This window comes from Homo sapiens, chromosome 20 (assembly GCF_000001405.40).
Source record: "Homo sapiens chromosome 20, GRCh38.p14 Primary Assembly".
NCBI lineage: Eukaryota > Metazoa > Chordata > Mammalia > Primates > Hominidae > Homo > Homo sapiens.
In genome coordinates this window covers 51,215,538-51,237,839 of record NC_000020.11, presented here as the reverse complement: position 1 = coordinate 51,237,839, position 22,302 = coordinate 51,215,538, and the positions used below count along the sequence as shown (strand labels likewise).

The 22,302-nt window shown below is 45.7% G+C and overlaps 5 annotated features.

Annotated features, from left to right (window-relative positions):
* Positions 207-793: an enhancer, noted in NCBI's record as "H3K27ac-H3K4me1 hESC enhancer chr20:49853584-49854170 (GRCh37/hg19 assembly coordinates)". NCBI's record gives its function as "activates a minimal SCP1, AML or CMV promoter by ChIP-STARR-seq in primed H9 embryonic stem cells {active_cell/tissue: H9 hESC(primed)}" and the evidence as "EXISTENCE:reporter gene assay evidence [ECO:0000049][PMID:30033119]".
* Positions 14,864-15,537: an enhancer, noted in NCBI's record as "NANOG-H3K27ac-H3K4me1 hESC enhancer chr20:49838840-49839513 (GRCh37/hg19 assembly coordinates)". NCBI's record gives its function as "activates a minimal SCP1, AML or CMV promoter by ChIP-STARR-seq in naive H9 embryonic stem cells {active_cell/tissue: H9 hESC(naive)}" and the evidence as "EXISTENCE:reporter gene assay evidence [ECO:0000049][PMID:30033119]".
* Positions 15,538-16,212: an enhancer, noted in NCBI's record as "NANOG-H3K27ac-H3K4me1 hESC enhancer chr20:49838165-49838839 (GRCh37/hg19 assembly coordinates)". NCBI's record gives its function as "activates a minimal SCP1, AML or CMV promoter by ChIP-STARR-seq in naive H9 embryonic stem cells {active_cell/tissue: H9 hESC(naive)}" and the evidence as "EXISTENCE:reporter gene assay evidence [ECO:0000049][PMID:30033119]".
* Positions 17,362-17,411: a silencer, noted in NCBI's record as "silent region_13040". NCBI's record gives its function as "represses an Ori minimal core promoter by ATAC-STARR-seq in GM12878 lymphoblastoid cells {active_cell/tissue: GM12878}" and the evidence as "EXISTENCE:reporter gene assay evidence [ECO:0000049][PMID:35858748]".
* Positions 17,472-17,531: a silencer, noted in NCBI's record as "silent region_13039". NCBI's record gives its function as "represses an Ori minimal core promoter by ATAC-STARR-seq in GM12878 lymphoblastoid cells {active_cell/tissue: GM12878}" and the evidence as "EXISTENCE:reporter gene assay evidence [ECO:0000049][PMID:35858748]".

The window sequence follows — 22,302 nt, the reverse complement described above, 5'->3', positions numbered from 1 at the left end:
AACCTGAGGCTCTGACACCATGCTCACAGGGAGGGCGGCTCGGACCCTGCCTACTGGGAATCACTCCTGCACCAGAGAACATTGTTAGGAGTTTGGGGACGGCTGGGTTTTGTTGATTTTTTTCCCCTCTCAGAATCCGGACCACAAAAGTTTCCAGCTTTCAAGTGCCTATTTCCCCCCATCGAGATGCTTGGACATGCCCCACCTTTGGGCAGTTTTAAAGACTCCCAGGCCATCTTCCCCTCTGCTGCCCAACTCGCCCCTGCCCGTCTGCTGCAGCCACCTTCCTCATCGTGGCTGGAGGAACGTAGAAAAGGCAGCCACAGGCCCCACAGTGTCTGCACTGAAAACCCTGGCAGGGGGTGGAGAGAGGAAGCAGGATGAAGCAATGCTTGGCCCCAAGGGCTCTCATGGTGACTTCAGGCAGCAGCAGGACTCAAACTTGGGAGCTCAAAGAGTTCTGGAACATTCTTCCACTTCTCTAGCCTAACAGACTCCTCTTTAGAGGACTGGCATAATCCTTAGACTTTTTTTTCTTTTTCCTATTGAGATAATATAACGCTCTCCACAATTCACAGAATAGTAGAAAAGAACCTTCTTCCAAAAGACTCCCCCAACTTCTGAGCAGGCAGCTCCCTCCTCTTTATTATGCATGTTCCAGAAAGCCCTTAGTAGGTGGATCTCCGAGCTCCCCCAGCTCCTCCAGAAGATCCTAACATTGCAACAGGATGGGCTCAGGTCCTCCTCCACCTCCAGGAGAAGACAATGGGAAGGGAATGAAAGGGAAGCCCCCAGACTGCCCTCCTGGCTCAGGCCCCCAACTTCTCCCCCGGACTCTTGCAGGAGCCTTCCTCTTCCCCAGTCCTCCTGTCCTCACCTTCGTACAGCCAGAGTGACCCTGCAAATTGCAGGGTCAGGTCATGTCCCTCCTCTGCTCAGAGCCCTCCAGTGACTTTCCCAGCATACTTAAATAAAGTCCAGCTCCTTACCAGGGCCTGCAAGGCCTCACTCAGCCTGGCCTTGCTGCCTCCCCCAAGGGCCCCATATAGCCCAAGAGAGATGGGTCCTGCCAGAAAGCATTGGCAGGGATCACTAGAGCTCTGTGCATTCTCTGGGCTATCAAACACATGAACAATTCTGTATGCAAACAACCTCAAACAAGAGCAAAGCATCCTGGCTTCAGACAGCAGCACAAATGCCGCACCACCAACAGGCTAAATTAGACTTAGAAGTAATGTGTTGGTTTGGGTCTGCCTGTACTAGGCTGGGAATAGGATTTTAGAAGCATGGTTAAGAGCTGAATCATGATTCAAGCACAACATAAAAGTTCAGCAGCACTGTGAAGGGAAGAATAAGAAAACAAGCAAAATGAGGTGCGGTAGGCTCTCTGTGGTAAAAATAATAATAATAATAATAAAATTAGTTTGCAATCATTCCTTACCTGAGAATTATTCATATATTGAGGAGGCAAGAAAGTCGCCCGAAGTCAAACTTTCTATCAGCCTGACAGACTGGGGATGGGATCTGCTGCCCTCACGGCCCCTCCTTGCCAGGGGGCTTCCACCTGAAATCTGCACCCATAGGAGCCAATCCACAGCACCCAGGGTCTGGGAAAATGGGCCACGTGGGAGAGAGGGGCCAGCAGTTTAGTTTGGAGTCCCTCCAATCAGCTGGCTAAACCTCCACTGGCCCTCACAACTCCCAGCATGGAGGCCTCACTCCTCCTGTGGCCCACGAGGTCTTAGCAGTAGCCCCTGCCCACCCCTCTGACTGCATCTCATAGGCCACCTCCCTTTACCCTCCCCTCCTCAGACACCTGTTCCCAGTTCTGTGAATATGTCCAGCTCCTTCCAGCTCTTTTACCCTCACACGTGCTGATGCCTCAGCCTAAAGCATTCTCCCCTCTTTGCTTAGTGAACTCCTATCATTTCTCACCTGCCTCCCCGCTTTCACCTTGCCCTCCCTCCATCCCCAACAGTCTATTCTCCCACAGCAGAATCGTCATTTCAGAATGTAAGCTGACCACGGTGCTTCCCTCCTTTGTTCTAAGTCCTCCAGGTAGCTACTCTCACCTTATCTTACAGTGAGTGCCAGTGGAATATATAACTATTCCCCTACTTGCCCCCTTTCTCCTACAACACGTGGATTCAGTTATGTGACATTACCCTCCCTCCTTCCCCTCCAGCCTCCTTGTCCCCTTTGTATATTAAAGTCCTCAAAATCGTCTTTGGAGAAAGGCACAGACCACAGACTGTTTCTGTGATTTTGTGTTTCTTCCAAGTGTGTCCTTAACCTTGGCAAAACAAACTTCTAAGTTGATTGAGACCTGTCTCAGATACTATTTAATTAAGTTTACAACATACTAGATTTCAAAGACTTAGTACAAAAAGAAGTAAAGTATCTCAATCATAAAGTTTATATTGATTGCACATTGAAATATTTTTGATATGTTGGATTAAATAAAATGTATTATTAAGATTAATCTAATCTGTTTGTTGGTCGCATAAATGTCTTCTTTTGGAAGTGTCTGTTCATATCCTTTGCCCACTTTTTAATGGGTTTTTTTCTGGTAAGTTTGTTTAAGGTTCTTGTAGATTCTGGATATTAGACTTTTGTCAGATGGGTAGATTGCAAAAATTTTCTCCCATTCTGTAGACTGCCTGTTCACTCTGATAATAGTTTCTTTTACTGTGCAGAAGTTCTTCAGTTTAATTAGATCCCATTTGTCAATTTTGGCTTTTGTTGCAATTGCTTTTGGTGTTTTAGTCATAAAGTCTTGCCGATGCCTATGTCCTGAATGGACTTACAATAGGAAAGACTTGGAATCTACCCAAATGTCCATCAATGATAGCCCGGATAAAGAAAATGTGACACACATACACCATGGAATACTATGCAGCTCTACAAAAGAACGAGTTAATGTCTTTGCAGGGACATGGATGAAGCTGGAAGCCATTATTCTCAGCAAACTAACACAGGAACAGAAAACCAAACACCACACGTTCTCACTCATAAGCGAGAGCCAAACAATGAGAACACATGGACACAGAGGGGAACATTACATACTGGGGCCTGTCAGGGGGTGGGGGGTAAGAGAAGGGAAAGCATTAGGACAAATACCTAATGCATGTGGGGCTTAAAACCTAGGTGATGGATTGATAGGTGCAGCAAACCACCGTGGCACATGTATATCTATGTAACAAACCTGCATGTTCTGCACACGTATCCCAGAACTTAAAAAAAAAAAAAGATTAATCTCACTTTTAAACTTTTTCCATGTGCCTACTAGAAAATGTAAAATTATATCTATGGCAACATTTACTCTTGTATTATATTTTCATTGGGCAGCACCACTCTAGAGTTGCTGGTAAATAATACATAAATCATCAAATAAAATTAATTGAGGTCATTTTAGAAAGTGATAGTGGTTCTGAAGCAGATAGAATAGGATGTGGCTAAAGAGTGATAAGGCAGAATGTTTGGGGAGGGGGGGTCTTTCGATAGAATGGTCAGTATTGTGAGCCAAGTTGTACCCTTCCAAAATTCATGTGTTGAAGTCCTAACCCCCAGGACCCCAGAATGTGACTGTATTTGGAGACTGGGCCTTTAAAGAGGTAATTGGATTAAAATAGCGTCACTAGGATGGACCACTAATCGAATAAGACTGTTGTTCTTATAAGGAGAGGAGATCAGGACACAGACATGCACAGAGGCGAGACCACACGAAGACACAGAGAGAAGACGGCACCTCTCTCTGTTGAATGAGACCTCAGAAGAAACCAACCCTGCCAGCACCTTGAACTTGGACTTCCAGCCTCCAGAATGTGGGCAATACATTTCTGTTACTTAAGCCACTCTGTGGCCCCCTACCAAACTATATAGTCAGAAAGGGCCTTTCTCAGGAGGTGACATTGCAATTGAATGACAAGAATGGCCCAGCCTCCTGGAGGTCTCTGGGAAGATTCTTCTAGGTTACAGAAAACAGCAAGAGCAGAGGCCTGAGGGTGTAGGCAGAGAAAGAGCTCAGTGCAGCTGGTTCATGGTGGAGGGGGGTGGGGTGGGAGACAAGGGCATGGGGTATACAGGGTCAGAGCATACTTGCAAGACAACAAACTTTCCTCGCCACTCCTCTTACCACACACTGTACATTTAAAGCTTCACCTTGGGAAGATTCTCCAGGGTGCCTTTAGGAAGGTCTGTATCCTGGAACCCACTTATAGCACCTTTCACTTTGAATCTGTCAACCTGCTGCAAGCCAGATGCATCCAGACAGTCATGTTCCCTAAGAACAGCTGGTGAGTCACTGCGGCAGAAGGCCCCAGGGCCTCCGGGAACTGAGGTCCTCGAATGAGGACGCTCACAGGTATTTTTAACATCACCTGTCCTGGGGACCAGAAAAAGATTTCGAGAGGTGAACAAAGAGAGTGTGAGAGCTGGAAGAATAATGCAGGTCAGAGCCATGAAGACCACCAGTAGGCAAGGGTTGAGGGTATGGGAAGATTTGCCAGTTGGCTGTGCAGCACCCTAGACTCCCACCAGGGTGGGCTGAAGTAAGAATCAGCAGTGGGGACCAGCAAAGCCTGTGCCCCAAAAGAGGACTGCTCCCTGCCATAGGAAAGAGCATCTAACCCACAGCCACTTCCTCCCCTCCATTCATTTTAAAAATTACCTGCTATATTAATTCATTCTCCTTTAAAATAATAATCAGTTGTACCCTCCTCCCTAGATAAGCACTGTTATTGTTTGTATGTATTTGCTTATTTGGGGGGGGTGGGGGAAAGAATAGGTACAATAACCAAAGACTAAGGAAGCTGGTTACTTGCAGAGGGTGGGTGAGAACATGGCAGAGGAGAGAGCGGAGGGGTGGCACCTTACTGGGTCTATTGTTTTACATAGCTTAGTCTTCTGGAATCTTGTCAATGTTTTATGCATTCAACAAATAAAATTAAGTCAACAACAATATAGAGAAAAGCCTAAAATTGAATAAAAACAAAAATGAAGAAACCTATCTGTATTTCAAATGAATTACATAACCACACAGACGTTCTAGAGGTTACTAACTCGAACAACTTCTAAGCCTAGTACTTGGACTATCAACCCTCAGTTTGATGACAGAAAAAGAACTGCAACTTTGGGAGGCCGAGGCAGGCAGATCACGAGGTCAGGAGATCAAGACCATCCTGGCTAACACGGTGAAACCCCGTCTCTACTAAAAATACAAAAAATTAGCCGGGCGTGCTGGTGGGCGCCTGTAGTCCCAGCTACTCGGGAGGCTGAGGCAGGAGAATGGTGTGAACCTGGGAGGCGGAGCTTGCAGTGAGCCGAGATCGCACCACTGCACTCCAGCCTGGGCAACAGAGTGGGACTCCATCTCAAAAAAAAAAAAAATGCAAAGGAATCCTGAACTCTGTTTCGTAGATTTATTGTTGCAGTGGTTGGGATATAGCAATTCTAAAATTATTTTGTATGTGGTATAGGAATAAACAAATGAATACATGTTTTGATTGTGTTGAGAGCCTGGGTTCCAACACCCAGGATTTCTTTTGCCTTCTATGGCAGAAGGAGGGAAATACCAATGGAGAATGTGGAAAGGGGAGAAACAGCCCTGTGGTATTAGGCTGGAATTCCATACATCAGTGTAAACTCATATTATGGTCTACGTAGACACACACAAACACACGAACATGCACATATGTTCTGTTCACTGAGAGGCTAAGAAGCATGAACATTCTAGCAGTAATGAGCACACCTAGCACTCCAGCTTGGTTTCTAAATACCAGTCCCCACTAAAAGGAACCAGGGCTCCTTCAGAAATGACCATTTCCCAGGGCTGGGCAGGGAAATAACAACATGAGCCTAAAACAGCTTGCTGTGCAAAGTGAGGAACTGCTCAAAACATGATGGGATCCTATTAAAAGGACCCAGATGAAAGACAGAGGGAGTTCATTTCAGCGCTGGTGCCCAGACAAGACCATCAAGCAGTCTTGCTACCAAGAGTCTCCTTGGACCTGTGAGACCCGATTTTTTTTTCCAAATGTCACTTTCCAGTCTTTCCTTCCATCCTCTGAGCACCTTCATCTGTTCCCATTCCTTACACTTAGAGTGATTTCTGTTGCACACAGCCAAAGAACCCTGGGTGACACATGGAGTCTCCTTTCCTCCATTCAGAAACTCTTCCAGTCTTATAAGGAGAAGTGCAGAATGCCCAGTAAGGACTTTCCTGGCATTCCCTAGCCAGCATCTCTCCTCTGCCTCCCATACTGGGAGAATCAGGTAGATCACATCCCCAAAGCGTGTTGAGGAACAGGCTTATGAGGAACCACTTCCCCGGCATCCAGAAGTCATTGCCAGCAGCTCCACCCTCCAGAATTGCTCAGGTACGCTCAGGGGAGAGACTGTGTCATTGTGTTTCAATGGAGTGCTGGTTTCTATAAGCAGGAATGGGGTTTAATTTGCCCAGGGGACTCCAAACAACACAAGTGCCTCTCTGGAACTGGTTCCATTACAATCAGGAGATGGGCAAAGTTTTAGACTCCCGCTCCCCCAAATTGCTTGTAAAACAACAAGGAAAGATGGGAGCCATTTCATCATGCTGTATAATGAGCACAAGCATCATACAGGGCTTAGGGAGCGAAGTATGTGTCTTTCCCACTTATTATGAGGGTGACATGGGACAAGCCACTCGTCCTCTCTGTGCTTCTGTTCCTCATCCAAACCTGTCCAATCCACTGTAAAAAGCAAAAGCAGGAATAAAGCTCAGGCACACATTCCAGAAGCAACACACGCCGTGCAAACACCAGGGAGGAGACGCACGCACGTGTTTATCTCCCTGCTTGCTCTCTCCGAACTCCCCCAGCACCTAGAAAACATGCACGTCCTGGGAAGGCTGTTGACAAGCCCAGGCTGATTTCATAGGAGACGGAGAGGCATGGCTCATAACACACAGCTTTTCAGAGAATGTGCCTCGGCCGAGGTCTGCAGGCTGTTGCTTTTCTGCTAGCATGTGCTGAACATTGACTCAGAGTGCCAGGCACCAGGCTATGTGCCCTGCACACATGAGCTGATCAAATCATCACGACTCCATGAACTAGTTTCTTAATTCCATTTTAATGCCACTGAGACGGATTTAAACCGGTAGAGCGATTTGCCTGAGGTCAGACAACCAGAAATCATCAGAATTGGGATTTGAACCCAAGTCTGACTGTCCTGAGGCCTTTCCCTTTGCCTTTGGTTGACTGAATGGTGGCCCCCGAAGGATATGTCTATGCCCTAATCCCTGAAACCTATATGCTCCCTATGGCAGAAGAGTAAATACTCCTTATAGAACAAACGATGCAATTAAATTGAAGGTCTGGAGAGGAGGCGCTGGTCCTAGATTGTCCAGGTGGGTCATAAAAGAAATCCCAGGTGTCCTTAGAAGAGTGAGGCAGAGGGAGGCAGACACGTGGAGGATGGACGGGAAGAGGAGGAGGCTGTCTGCCCACAGAGGCAGAGATTGGAGGCTGTGGCCACAGTGGAGGAACCCGGGAGCCACCAGAAGCTGGAATGGACCCTCCACTAGAGCCTTGAGAGAGACAGAGCAGCCCTGGTGACACCTCCGTTTCAGGCTTCTGGCTTCTAGAACTGTGGGAGAAGAATTTTCTGTGGTTCTAAGCCACACAGATTGTAGTCTTTTGTTATAGCAGCCTCAGGACACTCGTCCACCCCTTATGCTATCCAACTCCACAGTGGGGTGTGGCAGTTCAGGGGACAGGCACACAGTGGGTGCCAGTCCTCTGGGCAGATCATGGGCCATGCCACGACGCAGACGGATCCTGGTTCTTTCACCTTTGGGTCTGCAGAGGGACTGAGCACCAAGGCTTGGAGGTCTGGGAGGAGAAGCACGTGCCCACGATAGGATATTTTTTTTTTCTTTTTTAGACGGAATCTCACTCTGTCACCCAGGCTGAAGTGCAATGGTGTTGTCTCGGCTCACTGCAACCTCCACCTCCCGAGTTCAAGCGATTCTCCCACCTCAGCCTCCCAAGTAGCTGGGACTACAGGCACGTGCCACCACACCCGGCTGATTTCTGTATTTTTAGTAGAGACAGGGTTTCACTATGTTGGCAGGTTTGTCTTGAACTCCTGACCTCGTGATCCACCCGCCTCGTCCTCCCAAATTGCTGGGATTACAGGTGTGAGCCACCACACCTGGCCCACATGATAGGATATTAATATTCTCTTCAGCCCTTTGCCCTCTGTTCGTCAGCAAAGATGACTGAGCACAGCCGTGGTGCACTGTGCCCTGGGAGCCACAGAAGTGGTGCGCAAACCCAGAAACCTGAAGGGACACGGAGGAGGGGGAATGAGAGAGCTGGGCAGGGAGGAGCAGTGACAGTGACGAGCGGGAGGGCACTGTCCACCTAAAAGGGCAAAAAAGGTACAATGCAGAATTGAAAAGATATGGAACCAACCTAAGTGCCCATCAGCCAATGAGTGGATAAGAAAATGTGGTATATATACACCACGGAATACTACTCAGCCATAAAAAAGAACAAAAGAATGTTTTTTGCAGAAATGTGGATGAGCTAGAGGCCATTATTCTAAGTGAAGTAACTCAGGAATAAAAAAAACCAAATTCCATATGCTCTCAATTATAGGTGGGAGCTAAGCGATGAATACACAGAGGCATACAAAGTGGCATAATGAACTTTAGAGACTCAGAGGGGGAGAGTAGGAGCAGGTGAAGGATAAAAAAAACTACATATTGGGTACAATGTACACTAAACAAGTGATGGGTGTACTCAAATCTCAGACATCACCATTATGCAATTCACCACTATACACACACACACACACACAATTTATATATAAATATATTTTACATAATATATAATTAATATATGTTATATATAATTATAGAAAAATATATAATGTATATTAATTACATATAATAAATATAATTTATATAATTATATAATTAATATTTATTATATGTAAGATAAATTTTTAAATAATATATATTATATATTGATAACATATTATGTTAGTAATATATAACACACATTTATATATTATATGATAGATATTATATATTATATAGTATCAATTTATATATTATATATTATGTAATTAATATGTAATAAATTAATATTACATTATATTAATACACTATCACATATCGATATATTATATATTATATATAATTAATATAGTATTACCTATTAATTATATGTAAATATGTTACTGTATATTATATATAACACATATATGTGTATATAAATATATATTATTACATGTTATATATTATATAAATACAATATAGATATAATTATATATTATATAAATTCATATTGTATATGAATACGAATATATTATATATTAATGTCATGTATATATAATTTATATTATATAGAACATTTATATTATATAATAGATAGTAATATCTTCTATATTATATATTAATTATAATTTATATATTAATTATAACATATATAATATATAAAAATTGTATCTATCATATAATTTATCTATTTTCATATAATTTTATATTTTAATATAAATGTATACATATACATTACATATAATAAAATTTTAAAAATAAAAGAGCATGGAGGCTCACTGTGACCCATCAAGTTCTGGTGGGAACCAGGCCTGGTGCGACCAGAGCTCTTTATGTTTGCAAAAGCCAGGACAAGCATCTTCTTGTGAATCTGCCTATTTCAAAACACTGACAACTGACTCAGAACTTTCAAATCATCTTATGAGCCTAATGAAACATTTGCGTGGGCCATGCAACCATCAGATCCCTCCTCTAGATGAGGCCAGCTCACCAAGGGTTCCTACCTGTTCCTCCCAGGGGAGAATGTTGTGCTGAGCCCCCATCCACTCTAATGGGGATGGCACCAGGTTCAAGAGCCCAAAGAGACCCAGAGCCAGCAAAGGAGCCATGGAGTTTCACTGGGGGCTTATGTACAGGGGAGAGAGTCTAGTCGTGGTGGGCTGGACAGCAGAACCCCCAGTCCAGTGGCAGCAGCCTGGGCAGAAAAACCGCAACTGCTTGCCAAAGGCATGTGGTTGATACAGCATTTTCACTTAGCATCCTCCTCCTAACAACCTCCACTTGGCAATCGTCATTCAACCCAAAACACAGGGCCTCTATCCATGTTCCAACGGATGGGACGGAGGAGCTCAGGTGTTCCTCATAGACCAGGAATGGATCTCCAGGTTGGCCACATCTGGATTCCTTAGCTGGTAACTCAGAACACACATCCAGGTGCACTATTCTCAGAGCATGCCTAAGGGATCGCTGTCAGGTGCATCTGCCATAGAGAGGGATACTGTCCGAGGACTGCTTCAAACTCTTTATTTAAACTGCATTTCATTCCCTGATTTTTCACTCACCTTGCCTTTCCAACTCCTGAAGTCATGGGAGGTAGGGGGAGGAGTGGAAAAGGAATTTGAATAGAACCTTTCTTTCCCACGTCACAGCCAATGTCACACGAATGCAAGTCGATGGAGATCATCTCAGCCCCCTACCAGGGATCCACCTGCACTACAGGTGATGCACCAGAGATGAACAGAAACAAGGTCTACTGACCAAGCCCGTGGTGATTAAGAGGCTTCCTGTAGGTTTGTAATGTGGGCACGTGGCCTGCCTACTGCTCCTGCCCACTCACACCTGGAAGAAAATGGATTCTGAGAACTTTCTCTGTGGCCCCAGAACCACTGGGAGAGCTGGCTGCCATGGCCAACGGTGTGGGGTGAGACAGCAGACACAGGACTACAGGGATGGACGTGTGTGCATGTGTGCGTGTGCATGAGTGTACATGGCTGCATGCAACACACAGACACAGAGCCAAAGACTTGGAGACAGTGGCAAAGAGGCTTATGCAATCTTCCACAGGGCCAGCACTTTCCTTCTTCTCTTGCTTTACAAAAGAATAACAGGATTTGGCCCAAAGACATGTTCTGTTTGGACCACATGCTGTTTCTTCCAATAATAACTTCCCAGTAACAGAATCCATAATATCAACTAGAATTCATTGAGTTCTTACAGTGGATCAGGCACTGTTCTAAGCTACTGACATGCTTTTCCATCTAATTCTTAAAGCCACCATATCCCTTATAGGCTGTTAATATCTATTAGAACACCAATACTATTTTAAAAGAAGATTTCTCATACTAAGTTCCCTTTTCTCCGGCCCATGCCTAGGCTAGTGCTTGCAATACACAGGTGTTCAGTAAGTATTTTGAGGCAGGAGAAAAGGGTCTGGAGGCAGGGAACCTAAGGCTATTTCACGCTGACTTCCTAGAACTAAATAGAAAGGAAAACCCTAACTTTCCACGCCTAATAACAAAAGGACCAGAGGCAACTCCCTTTGCAAATCCCCACCTTTTTTTTTTTTTTTTTTAAGACAGAGTCTTGCTCTGTCACCCAGGCTGGAGTCCAGTGGCTCAATCTCGGCTTACTGCAAGCTCCACCTACCCAGTACAAGCGATTCTTCCGAGTAGCTGAGCCTACAGGCACGCGCCACCACGCCCAGCTAATTTTGTAATTTTTAGTAGAGATGAGGTTTCACCATATTGGCCAGGCTGGTCTCAAACTCCTGACCTCGTGATCCACCCACCTCAGTCTCCCAAAGTGCTGGGATTGCAACCAATCAGATGTTTGCACAGGAGTGTAACTTTGTAACTTCACTTAAGCCTTTAATTGGTTGTTGTCTACAACCAATCAGACTGATGGTGGGGCACCGGGAGCCAAGTCTTAGTTTGCATAGAAGTGCAGCTTTGTAACTTCACCTTAGCCTCTGACTGGTTGCTTTCCGCAACCAATCAGATGTTTGCATAGGAGTGTGGCCTTTGTAACTTCACTTCAGCCTCTGATTGGTTGCTTTCTGCAATCAGACAGATTGTGAGCCACCACTTCATTTACATGGGGTAAGCACCAAGTGGCCAATGGGAAACCTCTAGGGGGTACTTGGACCTGAGAAAATTTGGTATCTTGGCCCTTGAGCAGCTGCATGGCCCACTGCCACCCTGCGGAGTGTACTTCTGTTTTCAATAAATCTCTGCTTTTGTTGCTTCTTTCTTTCCTTGCTTTGTTTGTGCGTTTTGTCCAATTCCATGTTCAAAACACCAAGAACCTGGACACCCTCCACTGGTAACAATTTGATGAATGAATGGGTCATGTGGCCTGATGAGAGGGACAGATCAGTCACACAAATAAATAATCATACCCAGCCTCAGTAGGGCCATGGTACAACCACAGGACAGAATATATGCTGGGGTGGAGGTGGTGTCAGGAAGGCTGTCTTGACTAGGAGAGCTTAATTCTGAAAGGCAGATGGGGTGGGGTATCAGTGCTGGAAACAATAGCCAGGGACAGTGTGGGGGAAGGCACAGTGGGGAGAACATGGGAAAGAACTGGAAACTGCCAGGCCAGGCGTGGTGGCTCATGCCTGTAATCTCATCATTTTGGGAGGCCAAGGTGGGCAGATCACCTGAGGTCAGGAGTTCGAGACCAGCCTGGCCAACTTGGTGAAACCCCATCTCTACTAAAAATACAAAATTAGCTGGGCATGGTGGTACGCGCCTGTAATCCCAGCTACTCAGGAGGCTGTGACAGGAGAATGGCTTGAACCCAGGGGCAGAGGTTACAGTGAGCTGAGGTCATGCCACTGCACTGCAGCCTGGGTGACAAGGAAACTCCGTCTCAAAAAAAAAAAAAAAAAAAAAAAAAGAAAAGAAAAGAAAAAAAAGAACTGGAAACTGCCAGAAATCCATCCATTTTGGCTGACACATAAAAGTGACAAGGGAATGGGACAAAATGAGACCAGGGAGATTTAGGCCTAAAATACTGGATTCATCTCTTAAGGCCATCACAGCAAACTTGCAGGGATTTAAAATATCAGAAATTTAATTTACTCTCTCACAGCTCTGAAGGCTAGACATCTGCAATCAAGGTGAGGTGCCAGCAGGGCCACACTCCCTCCAAAGACTCCAGGGAGAATCCTGCCTTGCCCCTTCCAGCTCCTGGTGGCTTTCAGCAGTCCTTGGCTTGTGGCAGCCTCTCTCCAGGCTCTGCCTCCATCTTCACACAGCTTCTGCCCTGTGTTTCTCTCTCTGTGTCCTCTTGTCTTCTTATTAAGGATGCCAGTCATTAGATTTAGGGCCCACTCTAACTCCAGGAAGTATTAGTGTGTTTTCACACTGCTGATAAAGACATACCCAAGACTGGGTAATTTATAAAGAATAAGAGGTTTAATGGACTTGCAGTTCCACGTGGCTGGGGAGGCCTCACAATTGTGGTGAAAGGCATGTCTTACATGGTGGCAGGCAAGATAGAGCTTGTGCAGGGGAACTCCCCTTTATAAAACCATCAGATCTCGTGAGACTTACCCTCACGAGAACAGCATGGGAAAGACCCACCCCCATGATTTAATTACCTCCTACCAGTCCCTCCTACAACATGTGGGAATTATGGGAGCTATAATTTGAGACTTAGGCGGGTACATGGCCAAACCATATCAGACATTATCTCAGTCCTTACCATAATTACCTCTGCAAAGACCCTATTTCTATAAAGGTCACATTCACAGAGGCCTGGGGTTAGGACTTGGACCCATCTTTCAGAGGGACAGTATTCGACCCACTACCAATATTTTCCCACAGCGTTTCCAAAACTAACCTGTTTTGGAGGCTGAGGACCCTGGGAAGTCCTCTGTTGGCAACATGCTTGAGCAAACAAATGATAACAACAAAGGGCTTGTCCAGGCTCTAGAAACATCACCTGATTATTAAACAGGCTCCATCCTGTGGCTGGGTGCCATGTAGAAGACCACTAGGCCAACAGGAATGTCACTCAGACAAGGCCTCCAAACCCATATGTTGCCCCTCACCACTTTTCTTAGTTGTGCTTCCATTGATGAACACTACAGCTAAAATCAGGATCCCAAAATAAAAACCCCAAAAGGATCTAGAATATTTAGGAAAATCATCTTTGAGTTAGAAAACATCCTCCGTGTTTGGTCTCGATCTGTCTTTTGTTAGGTCCGTCCTCCTTGCCACTTAACACTTTCCTTTGCACCTCTTCCTGACACCAACAGACACCATGCAAGCCCCCAGTGAGGGGGCCTTCCTCAGTCAGCCTGGGGGAAGCATGAATTAGCTGAGAAGAGGACTAGCCTCTTCTGAATGGCATGCTAAATCACTCCTCATCTTTTTCCAGTCTATGCTACATTTAGACTGACTTTTCTTTCTGTCTTCTAAAGGGCCATGCATTATGGATGAGAACTATTTCTTATTCAGCAGCCGAGAATCACTCTTCTATCAAAAACATCTCTTTCACTGCATTCTCAGATATCAAAGCCCCTCTCTGAACTCAGCGTTTCCTGGCCTGGTTCCCTGAAGGGGTCTGTTGGACAATGCTCTTGAGTGACAAATGTTTGAAATGTAAAATGCACAGGCGAACACACTCCCGCTGTGAATCCACACCGCATTCTTGCTGAAGATGGTGAACTCCACGCATCATGGGACCCCTGGAGTTATGGTCATTCTCACCTGAGAGAAGGGGGTCATTTCAAACCTTAGAACAAGTCATTTCTGTCCCGGGTGGATTGGAATGTATTGAAATTTCTGCTCCTGACTCTGCTTGGCATGTTCGTTCATACACTTGCCCCCTCCTCTTTCTTTCTTCTCCTAACCCTGCTTTAAAATAAGGGGGAATGAAACAAAAGAGAACCACCGCTGGAAAGAAATGGTCCCAAGATAGCAACAGTAATTACCTAGGGTAATTTTCTTCTTCTATTTCTAAATTTCTATGATTAACATATATTAGCTAGTTTTACTAGTGAGCTACTTTTTTTAAAACCTCCTTTAAAACTCTACTCATGGAGACATGGAGACGGGGAAGCATGCACAAATTGTTAATTACTGCATTGTGAGTTTTTCCTCGTTACGATGAAAAAATCACAATACTAATACTGATCATTAATACTTACTGAGCACTATGTCCCAGACACTGCTTTATATCCCTTGAATGTATTATCTCTGTGAATTCCCTATAAGATAGGTGCTACGACAATCCCCACTTTACAGATGAGAGAACTGGGGCACAGAGAGATTGAAGGACTTTTTCAAGATCACCCAGCTGCACCTGCTGGAGCTGGGATTTGAAACCAAAGGCTCTTAGTCGACATCCCTGGCAATAGCCAGCACCAACCTGTCTGCCAGATTTTGACAGCAGACACTCCCTTCCCCAGAAAAGCCTCCCTGGCTGATGCTGTGAGGACAGAGATGAGCCTTCCCCCACGGAACCTGGCCCAAATAGCCTATTTGTAAGCCAAGTAAATGATGGTTGCTATTTAAGCCCCTAAATTTTGGAGTGGTTTGTTAATGGGCCATGGATCATGGGAGCAATGGCTAGACTCAGGCAGCCCAGGAAATCTTCCCGGGCCTCCTGAGGGCAGGGGAGGTTCTCTGCCCTGGGCAAGGGTGCTCTCTCAGCACAGGGGCCAAGCAGTCTCTTGCTGCAAGCGACCAGGGCAGCAAAGATTGCTGATCTCATTCACAGCAGGACAGTGTGGGGAGGCAGGATTCATGACAGGCGTGTCCACAATCCAGCTGGGAGGGTGGAGAAACAGGTTGTCCCGCGCGGGTTGGAAGTCACATCCTCGCTGCAAGGCACTTCCTAGCTGAAGCAATCATTGCCGGGATTGCCTCAGCTATTGTTTCTTTTCCCTTTCTCCATCTGGTTAACTCTCTTTAAGTAGGCATTAGTAGTGTCCTCCCCTCCTCCCCCTGGCTCTCTCTCTCTCTCTCCCGTCCTCTCCAAATTGGAACCAGCAGCAAATCCTATCAGCACTCCCTTCAAAATGTATTCACCACCTTCCTCCCTGGTCCCAACCACCGTCCTGTCTCACCCGGATTGTTGCGGTCACCTCCTCACGGGTCTCTCTGCTCCTGCCTTGCAGTTTATCCTCCACAAGCAGCCAGGGACATCCTATCGGAACGCAGGTCAGATTATATCAGAGCCCCACAGTGGCTCTCTCTCACTCAATGTCCTTCTGGTGCCCCAAGACCCTGTGAGACCCAGCCGCCTTTTCCCCTCCCACCCCTTGCTCCCTCTGCTCCCGCCACCCAGGCGTCCTCGCTGTTTCTTGCACGTTCAGGTGCCCTCCACTGCAGGACCCTTGCACTTGCTACCTCCCTTTTCTGAAATGAGCTTCCCCTAAATATCTCACAGCTCTTCTCCTTTCTTCACATTGTTACTTCAGCCAACTTCTCAGTAAGTTTGTCCTTCCCACCCACTCCAAAACTTCACCTCACCTCAACACTTCATGTTCTACTTATGTTTTCTCCCTAGCATCATTTGACACTCTATAGATTTTGCTTATCTTCTTTAAATAAAGAGTAAATACTTCTTTTTGCTTATCTTCTTTAAATAAAGAGTAAATACTGTCTCCCCCACTAATAAATCATGCCCATGAGGGCAGTGATTTTTATCTGTTTTGTTCACTGCTGCATCCCTAGCACCTGGGACAGAGCCCGGCACTTAATAAGTGCTCAATAAATATTTGTTGCACACATGATTGGAGTCCTTCAAGACTTAGCCTAGGCCTCCATTGCTCTAGAAAGCCCTTCTTATGAATACGCACCCCTGCTTCCATCCTGGGGTGCGCATTCATCAGAATTAAAGTCATCGTCACCCTCATCATTGTCCCTGGCACTTACTGTGACCTCAGGCCATGCCTTGTGTTAAGCTCCTTATGTTCAAATTGCCAGATTAAATACAGGGTACCCAGTTAAATTTGAATTTCATACGATAATTCATAATTTTTTTTAGAGTAAGTATGTCCCATGCAATATTTGGTACACACACTTTAAAAAATCGTTGTTTATCAGACACCTTAAACCCAGGTGTCCTGTATTTTGATTTGCCGAATCTGGCAACCTTACTTATTGTAGACATTATCTTGTTTGGGCATCATGAGGTATGGATTATGATTGCCATTTTATAGTCTAGGGCAGGCGGTGTCGTGGGGCAGCGGGGCTGGTGGTGGGAGAGAGAAACTGGGAGAGCTTTGTAACGCAGCCAGAGAGTGTTCCGTAAAACCTGGGAACACAAAAACAAAAAGTCGGAACTGTCTGCAATTTCAAATGAAGCAATAAAAAAGAAGTAACAAGAGCGTCTTAAATCCAAGGAAGGAGAAATGAGCCTCCGCTCCTGAAAAATAGATGAAATAGAGACTTCGGGAAAAACGGATCTTCTCTTGTTGAAGATGAAATGCACCTTCCACAAGAACTACCTAGGCTTTGGGTGGGGGTTGGGGGAGGTGGGTCCATGCCACCAAGAGGACCCCAAGGAGAACAGCGTAATGGGCTTTCAGAGCCCCAGGCAGGCCCCCAGTGCGGCAGCGTGCTTCACCTTCCGGAGAGGCTGCCGTGCACGGGCTCAGGCGCGCCACCTGCAGGACGGATGGAGCATGGCGCTCCTGGGTTGTCAGTCACACCCTCGCTAAACCTTGCACCCTCCTGCTAACCAGCAATGACAATCCATACTCTTTAATTAAATGCAAAAAGTCCCCCCACAGCCCGAGCACCCTTCCTGCGCCGGAAGTTCCCTAAGATGTAAGTTTCCTCTTTTTCAGCAGTTTTCACACCACCTGGAATATGCGTTGTATTTCCCTATTTGATTAACGTCTCTCGGTCCCCTCACCTCCCATAGGACACTCCACAGTGGCAGGGATTTTTGTAAGTCCTGTTCATTGTCACATCCCCAGTATCTAAAACAGTTTCTAGCATGTGAAAAACACCCCATGAATATATGTTGAACGAATGAATGAGTACAGCTTCCTGCCATGTCCTTAAAGGAAAGAGGCAAGCCCTCTTTTTTTTTTCTCCCCTTTCCCCATCCCACTGGCTGGAGTTTCTGACTTGGCAATGGTGTCTGGGTCCATACAGATAAGGGCAACCCCTAGGAATGGTGGAGCAATGGACTAGCAAGTGCCTGCTTCCTTGGCACTAGGGACTCCAGACCAGCCCTGGACTACTTACTCCTGTGATTTGAGAGAAAATGAGTGTACCTAGCTCAAGCCATTGCTGTTTGGAGCATCTGACCTTAAAAAAGTTATTGCAACATCCCGCAAGAGGTGCCATGTTGTATACACCCAGAAGAGTGAGTGCTGGATTCTGCATGGGGTGGGCATCAGAGAAAGACCCCAGACAATGTGATGACTGGATCTTGATAAATGGGCAAAGGAGGTGATGGCATCCCCAGCAGAGGACACAAACCATGCAAAGGTCTCAAAGCATGTGAGGCCACCTTCTGTGCAGGGACTAGCAAGCCAAACTATGGATTGCTGGGGCAGGGTAGATAGGTGAGATACACAGCTGGCTGCAGGCAGGGTCTCATTTGAAGCCTTGAGCAGGCTCAGCTTCAGGCAGTGTGATTTCTGGCTCCAGATGTGCTGGCCTGGGTGAAAGTTCTGTGGGCTCCCTCTTGCATGGAAACTGATAAGCCCTGAGATTCGGGTTTGAGGAGAAGGTGGCCCTTTGGGTATCTGGTCCCTTGCATCTCACCTGGCAACTGAGTTACCAGAGAGGAACTGGAAACCAAAGCCACCTGATCCCTCCACTAGCAGGGCTTTGTTCCCTGCCTCTCTCAAAGAGGTCACATACCTGGAGAGGACCTGGGGACTCAGAAGTAACCTGGCCATCCCACCACCAGCAGTCATTTCTGTCTCCCTCTCATTTCCAAATCCACCTTTGTCAGTCTCCAACCTCACACTGCCTTCTGGCTGTGTAAGGGGCATGCAGATTCTCAGCTAACCACATGACCTGACTTTTTGTTCAGGAAATACAATTATTCTACCTATAATCTCCAGAAAGAAATTTTAATGTTCTTATAATGGTTTGAGTCCAAAGAGCTCAGGAAGAACTTATACTTAGCCCGCTAAAAACAAGTGACCAAAATGGCCTGGGAGATGTCACATGATAGCCCTACCCAAGAGCATCTTTTGTTCTTTAAAATGTGCTTTTCAGTGTACATTCTGGGGGAGAATTGGCCTGGTTCCTGAAATCCTGCTCTAATTATATATAATTTTTATAAATATAGTAATTACAACTCACTATGCCTTGCAGTTTAAATTGAATTGGATTTTTATGGAAGCAGGAGAATTAGGAGGAAAGCATTCTAGCATCTTTGAATTTATTGACCTCACTCCTCATAAGGAAACTGGCTGTTAGCATCTCAAAGACATATCCAGAAACCACTGCCCCTTTGGTGGCCACTTGGGAGTAGAAAAGAAAAGTTCTGCCAACCTCAGAAATCCAAACTTAGAGAACAGACATTATAGTGTGGTGGCTGGCCTATAGTTCATTTCCTACCTGTCAATGGATTTTGTTTGTTCAACATTTTAAAGTTAGAAAATTTCACATAAAAATCTGAATTTTTAGCCTCTATTGACATCTCAAAGTCCATGTTATGCTGAGCCTGTGTTCCCATCTAATATGAGTAGTTCTTTATACCAGTGTGAGAATAGACTAATAACAGTGTGAGAAGGGATTAATACAGAAGATTGGTACCAGGAGTGGCGTAGTCATCAGATTTCATCTTGATAGTCCAGGTCAATTACCCCAGCCAACACTGTAAGTCCCCTCTTAGCCTGTTGACTTAGAGGCAGGAAGAGCCCAAAGTGGCTAGGCAGCAATCTTAACTTCCAGTTTAATGGAATCATTGTTGTGTCTCCTGGTGGCAGCATTCCTCCCTCTGGAACTAAGACCTCTAGGCCAGCAGAACATAATGTCGTGGTAACAAGCAGCAAAAATTTTGCTAGTGGGTTCCTTGGGGTGATGGTGAGTGGGGCCACTTCCATTTCTACCCCTTGATTCCTGGACCCATGAATCCTGGCTATGGGAGAAAAGTACCATATAAGATGCTGAATGTTAACAGCCAAGACAATAGGGGAAATGCCTCCAGGGCATGTCAGAGACCTTTGAGGCAGCCCCTCCCATCACAGGCTTGGAGGCCTGGGGGAAGACATGGTTTCCTGGGGCAGGACCAGGGCCCTGCTACTGTGGGTAGCCTCAGGACATGGTATCCTGCATCATGGCCACTTCAGCTCCAGCCATGGCTAAAAGGAGCCAAGGTACAGCTCAGGCTGCTGCTCCAGAGGCTACAAGCCCTAAGCCTTTGCAACTTCCATGTGGTGTTAAGCCTGTGAGTGTGCAGAGGGCAAGAGTTGAGGCTTGGGAGCCTCCACCTAGATTTCAGAGGATGTATGGAAATGCCTAGATGTCCAGGCAGAAGTCTGCTGCAGGGGTGTAGCCCTCATGAGAACTTCTACTAGGGCAATGAGGAAGGGAAATGTGGGGTTGGAGTCCTCACACAGAGTCCCCACTGAGGAACTGCCTAGTGGAGCTGTGAGAAGATGCAAGACATGTAGTCAAAGTCCTTTCCACCTTGCCTCGTCTCAGATGAGACGCTGGACTTGGACTTTTGAGTTAATGCCGAAATGAGTTAAGTCTTTGGGGAACTTTTGGGAAGGCATACTTGTGCTTTGAAATGTGAGAAGGACATGAGATATGGGAGGAGCCAGGGGTGGAATGATATGGTTTGACTCTCTGTCCCCACCCACATCTCATGTTGAATTGTAATCCCGCGTATTGGAGGTAGGGTCTGGTAGAGGACTGGATCATGGAGGTGGTTTCTAATAGTTTAGCCCTATCTCCTAGTACTGTCTCAGGATACAGTTTTCACAAGACCTGGCTATTTAAAAGTGTATAGCACTTCCCCTTTCACTCTCTCTTCCTCCTGCTCCTGCCAAGGAGATGTGCCTGCTTCCCCTTCACCTTCTGCCCTGATTGTAAGTTTCCTGTGGTCTCTCAGTCATGCTTTCTGTGCAGCCTGTGAAACTGCAAGTCAATTAAACGTCTTTTATTTATAAATTACCCAGTTTTAGGGAGTTCTTTATAGCAGTGTGAGAATGGACTAATATACCATCTGACAAGAATGGGCTGAAATCAAGGGATAGCTGTACCTTTCAGACAAGGTATTTTGGTTTCTGCTTTGCCACCCCTCTTGCTACTCCTTATTGCCTCTCTAGCTCTGCCCATTGTCAATACTCTTCGTATTCTTAAGGTAGAGAGGTCATTCTCTGCATCCATGTCTTCATCAGAAGTGGGAAAATGTAAGATTGTGGGCCAAATATTTCCAGAAAATGGGGTACATTTTATAAGTCTCGTGATTGTGATAAACATGCCTGTATTTTTATGAACTCAAAATATCTCTGCATCAATCTGATCCAGCATCTTTACTTGTGTATCATGCTTTGCTTGGTCCTAGTAGGCATGAGAATGTGTTATGCCTTCTTCTGTAGATTACATTATGGTTCTCAGTTCATCACCATTCCCTCTGTCCATGTGACTTTGCTGTCCCTCCACTTGAAGAGGAGGGTATTTTCCCACCCTTTGACCTTGGGCTTAGCCATGTGCCCTGCTTCAGCCAGTAGGACTTGGGCAGATGGAACACAGGCAGAGGCCAGAGCAGTTAGCCTTCTGTTTCTGGATTTTTGCCATTGCTGTGACATATAAACTTCCAAGTAGCTGCTGGTTCAAAAAGAAAGCAGCTTGGAGCCAAGGCCAAAAGAACATAGCCTTGGTCAGGCAACCCACAGACACCTGAGCAAGAATAAATATTCATTCCTATAAGTCACCAAATTTTGGAAGGGTTTATTATGCAGTAGCATTGTGACAATAGTTGACTTAGTCATTTGCTATAATAGAATCTCATAATACCCCATTAAGTTAGTGACCTAGACCTTTGAGGCCCCAAAATAAAAGATTTCTTTTCCTTTTTGAAATCTTACAATGTTGCGGGCTCATGAAATTAAAATAGACAGCATTTCCTCCCCATGAGGTATGAAACAAAACAAGTTAATTATGGGCTTTTCATGCCAGCCAGTGCCCAGTGACCCCAGCCACTGCTCCCTCTGGCATCTCAATTTGGAAGAACTCCAACTGAGTCCCAGTCCATCAGCTTCTTACTCAGGATTTCTGAATGTCTTCAGGGCTGGGGAAACAAATGGCACACACAGATTGGCTTTATCTTGTTTTCAAATACAATGCAAAAATGCTAAATGTTATAAACATGCAACTCTAGACAGCCAATCAACCAATACACATTGAGCCCTTACCATCTGCCAGGAGAATACACTGGTCCTTGACAAGCCACAGTGATGTATTCATCACAGACCTGCATCCAAGACTTTACCACTGAGTCAGGGGATGTGATGTATATAAATGGCAGTGGGGAGGACCAGT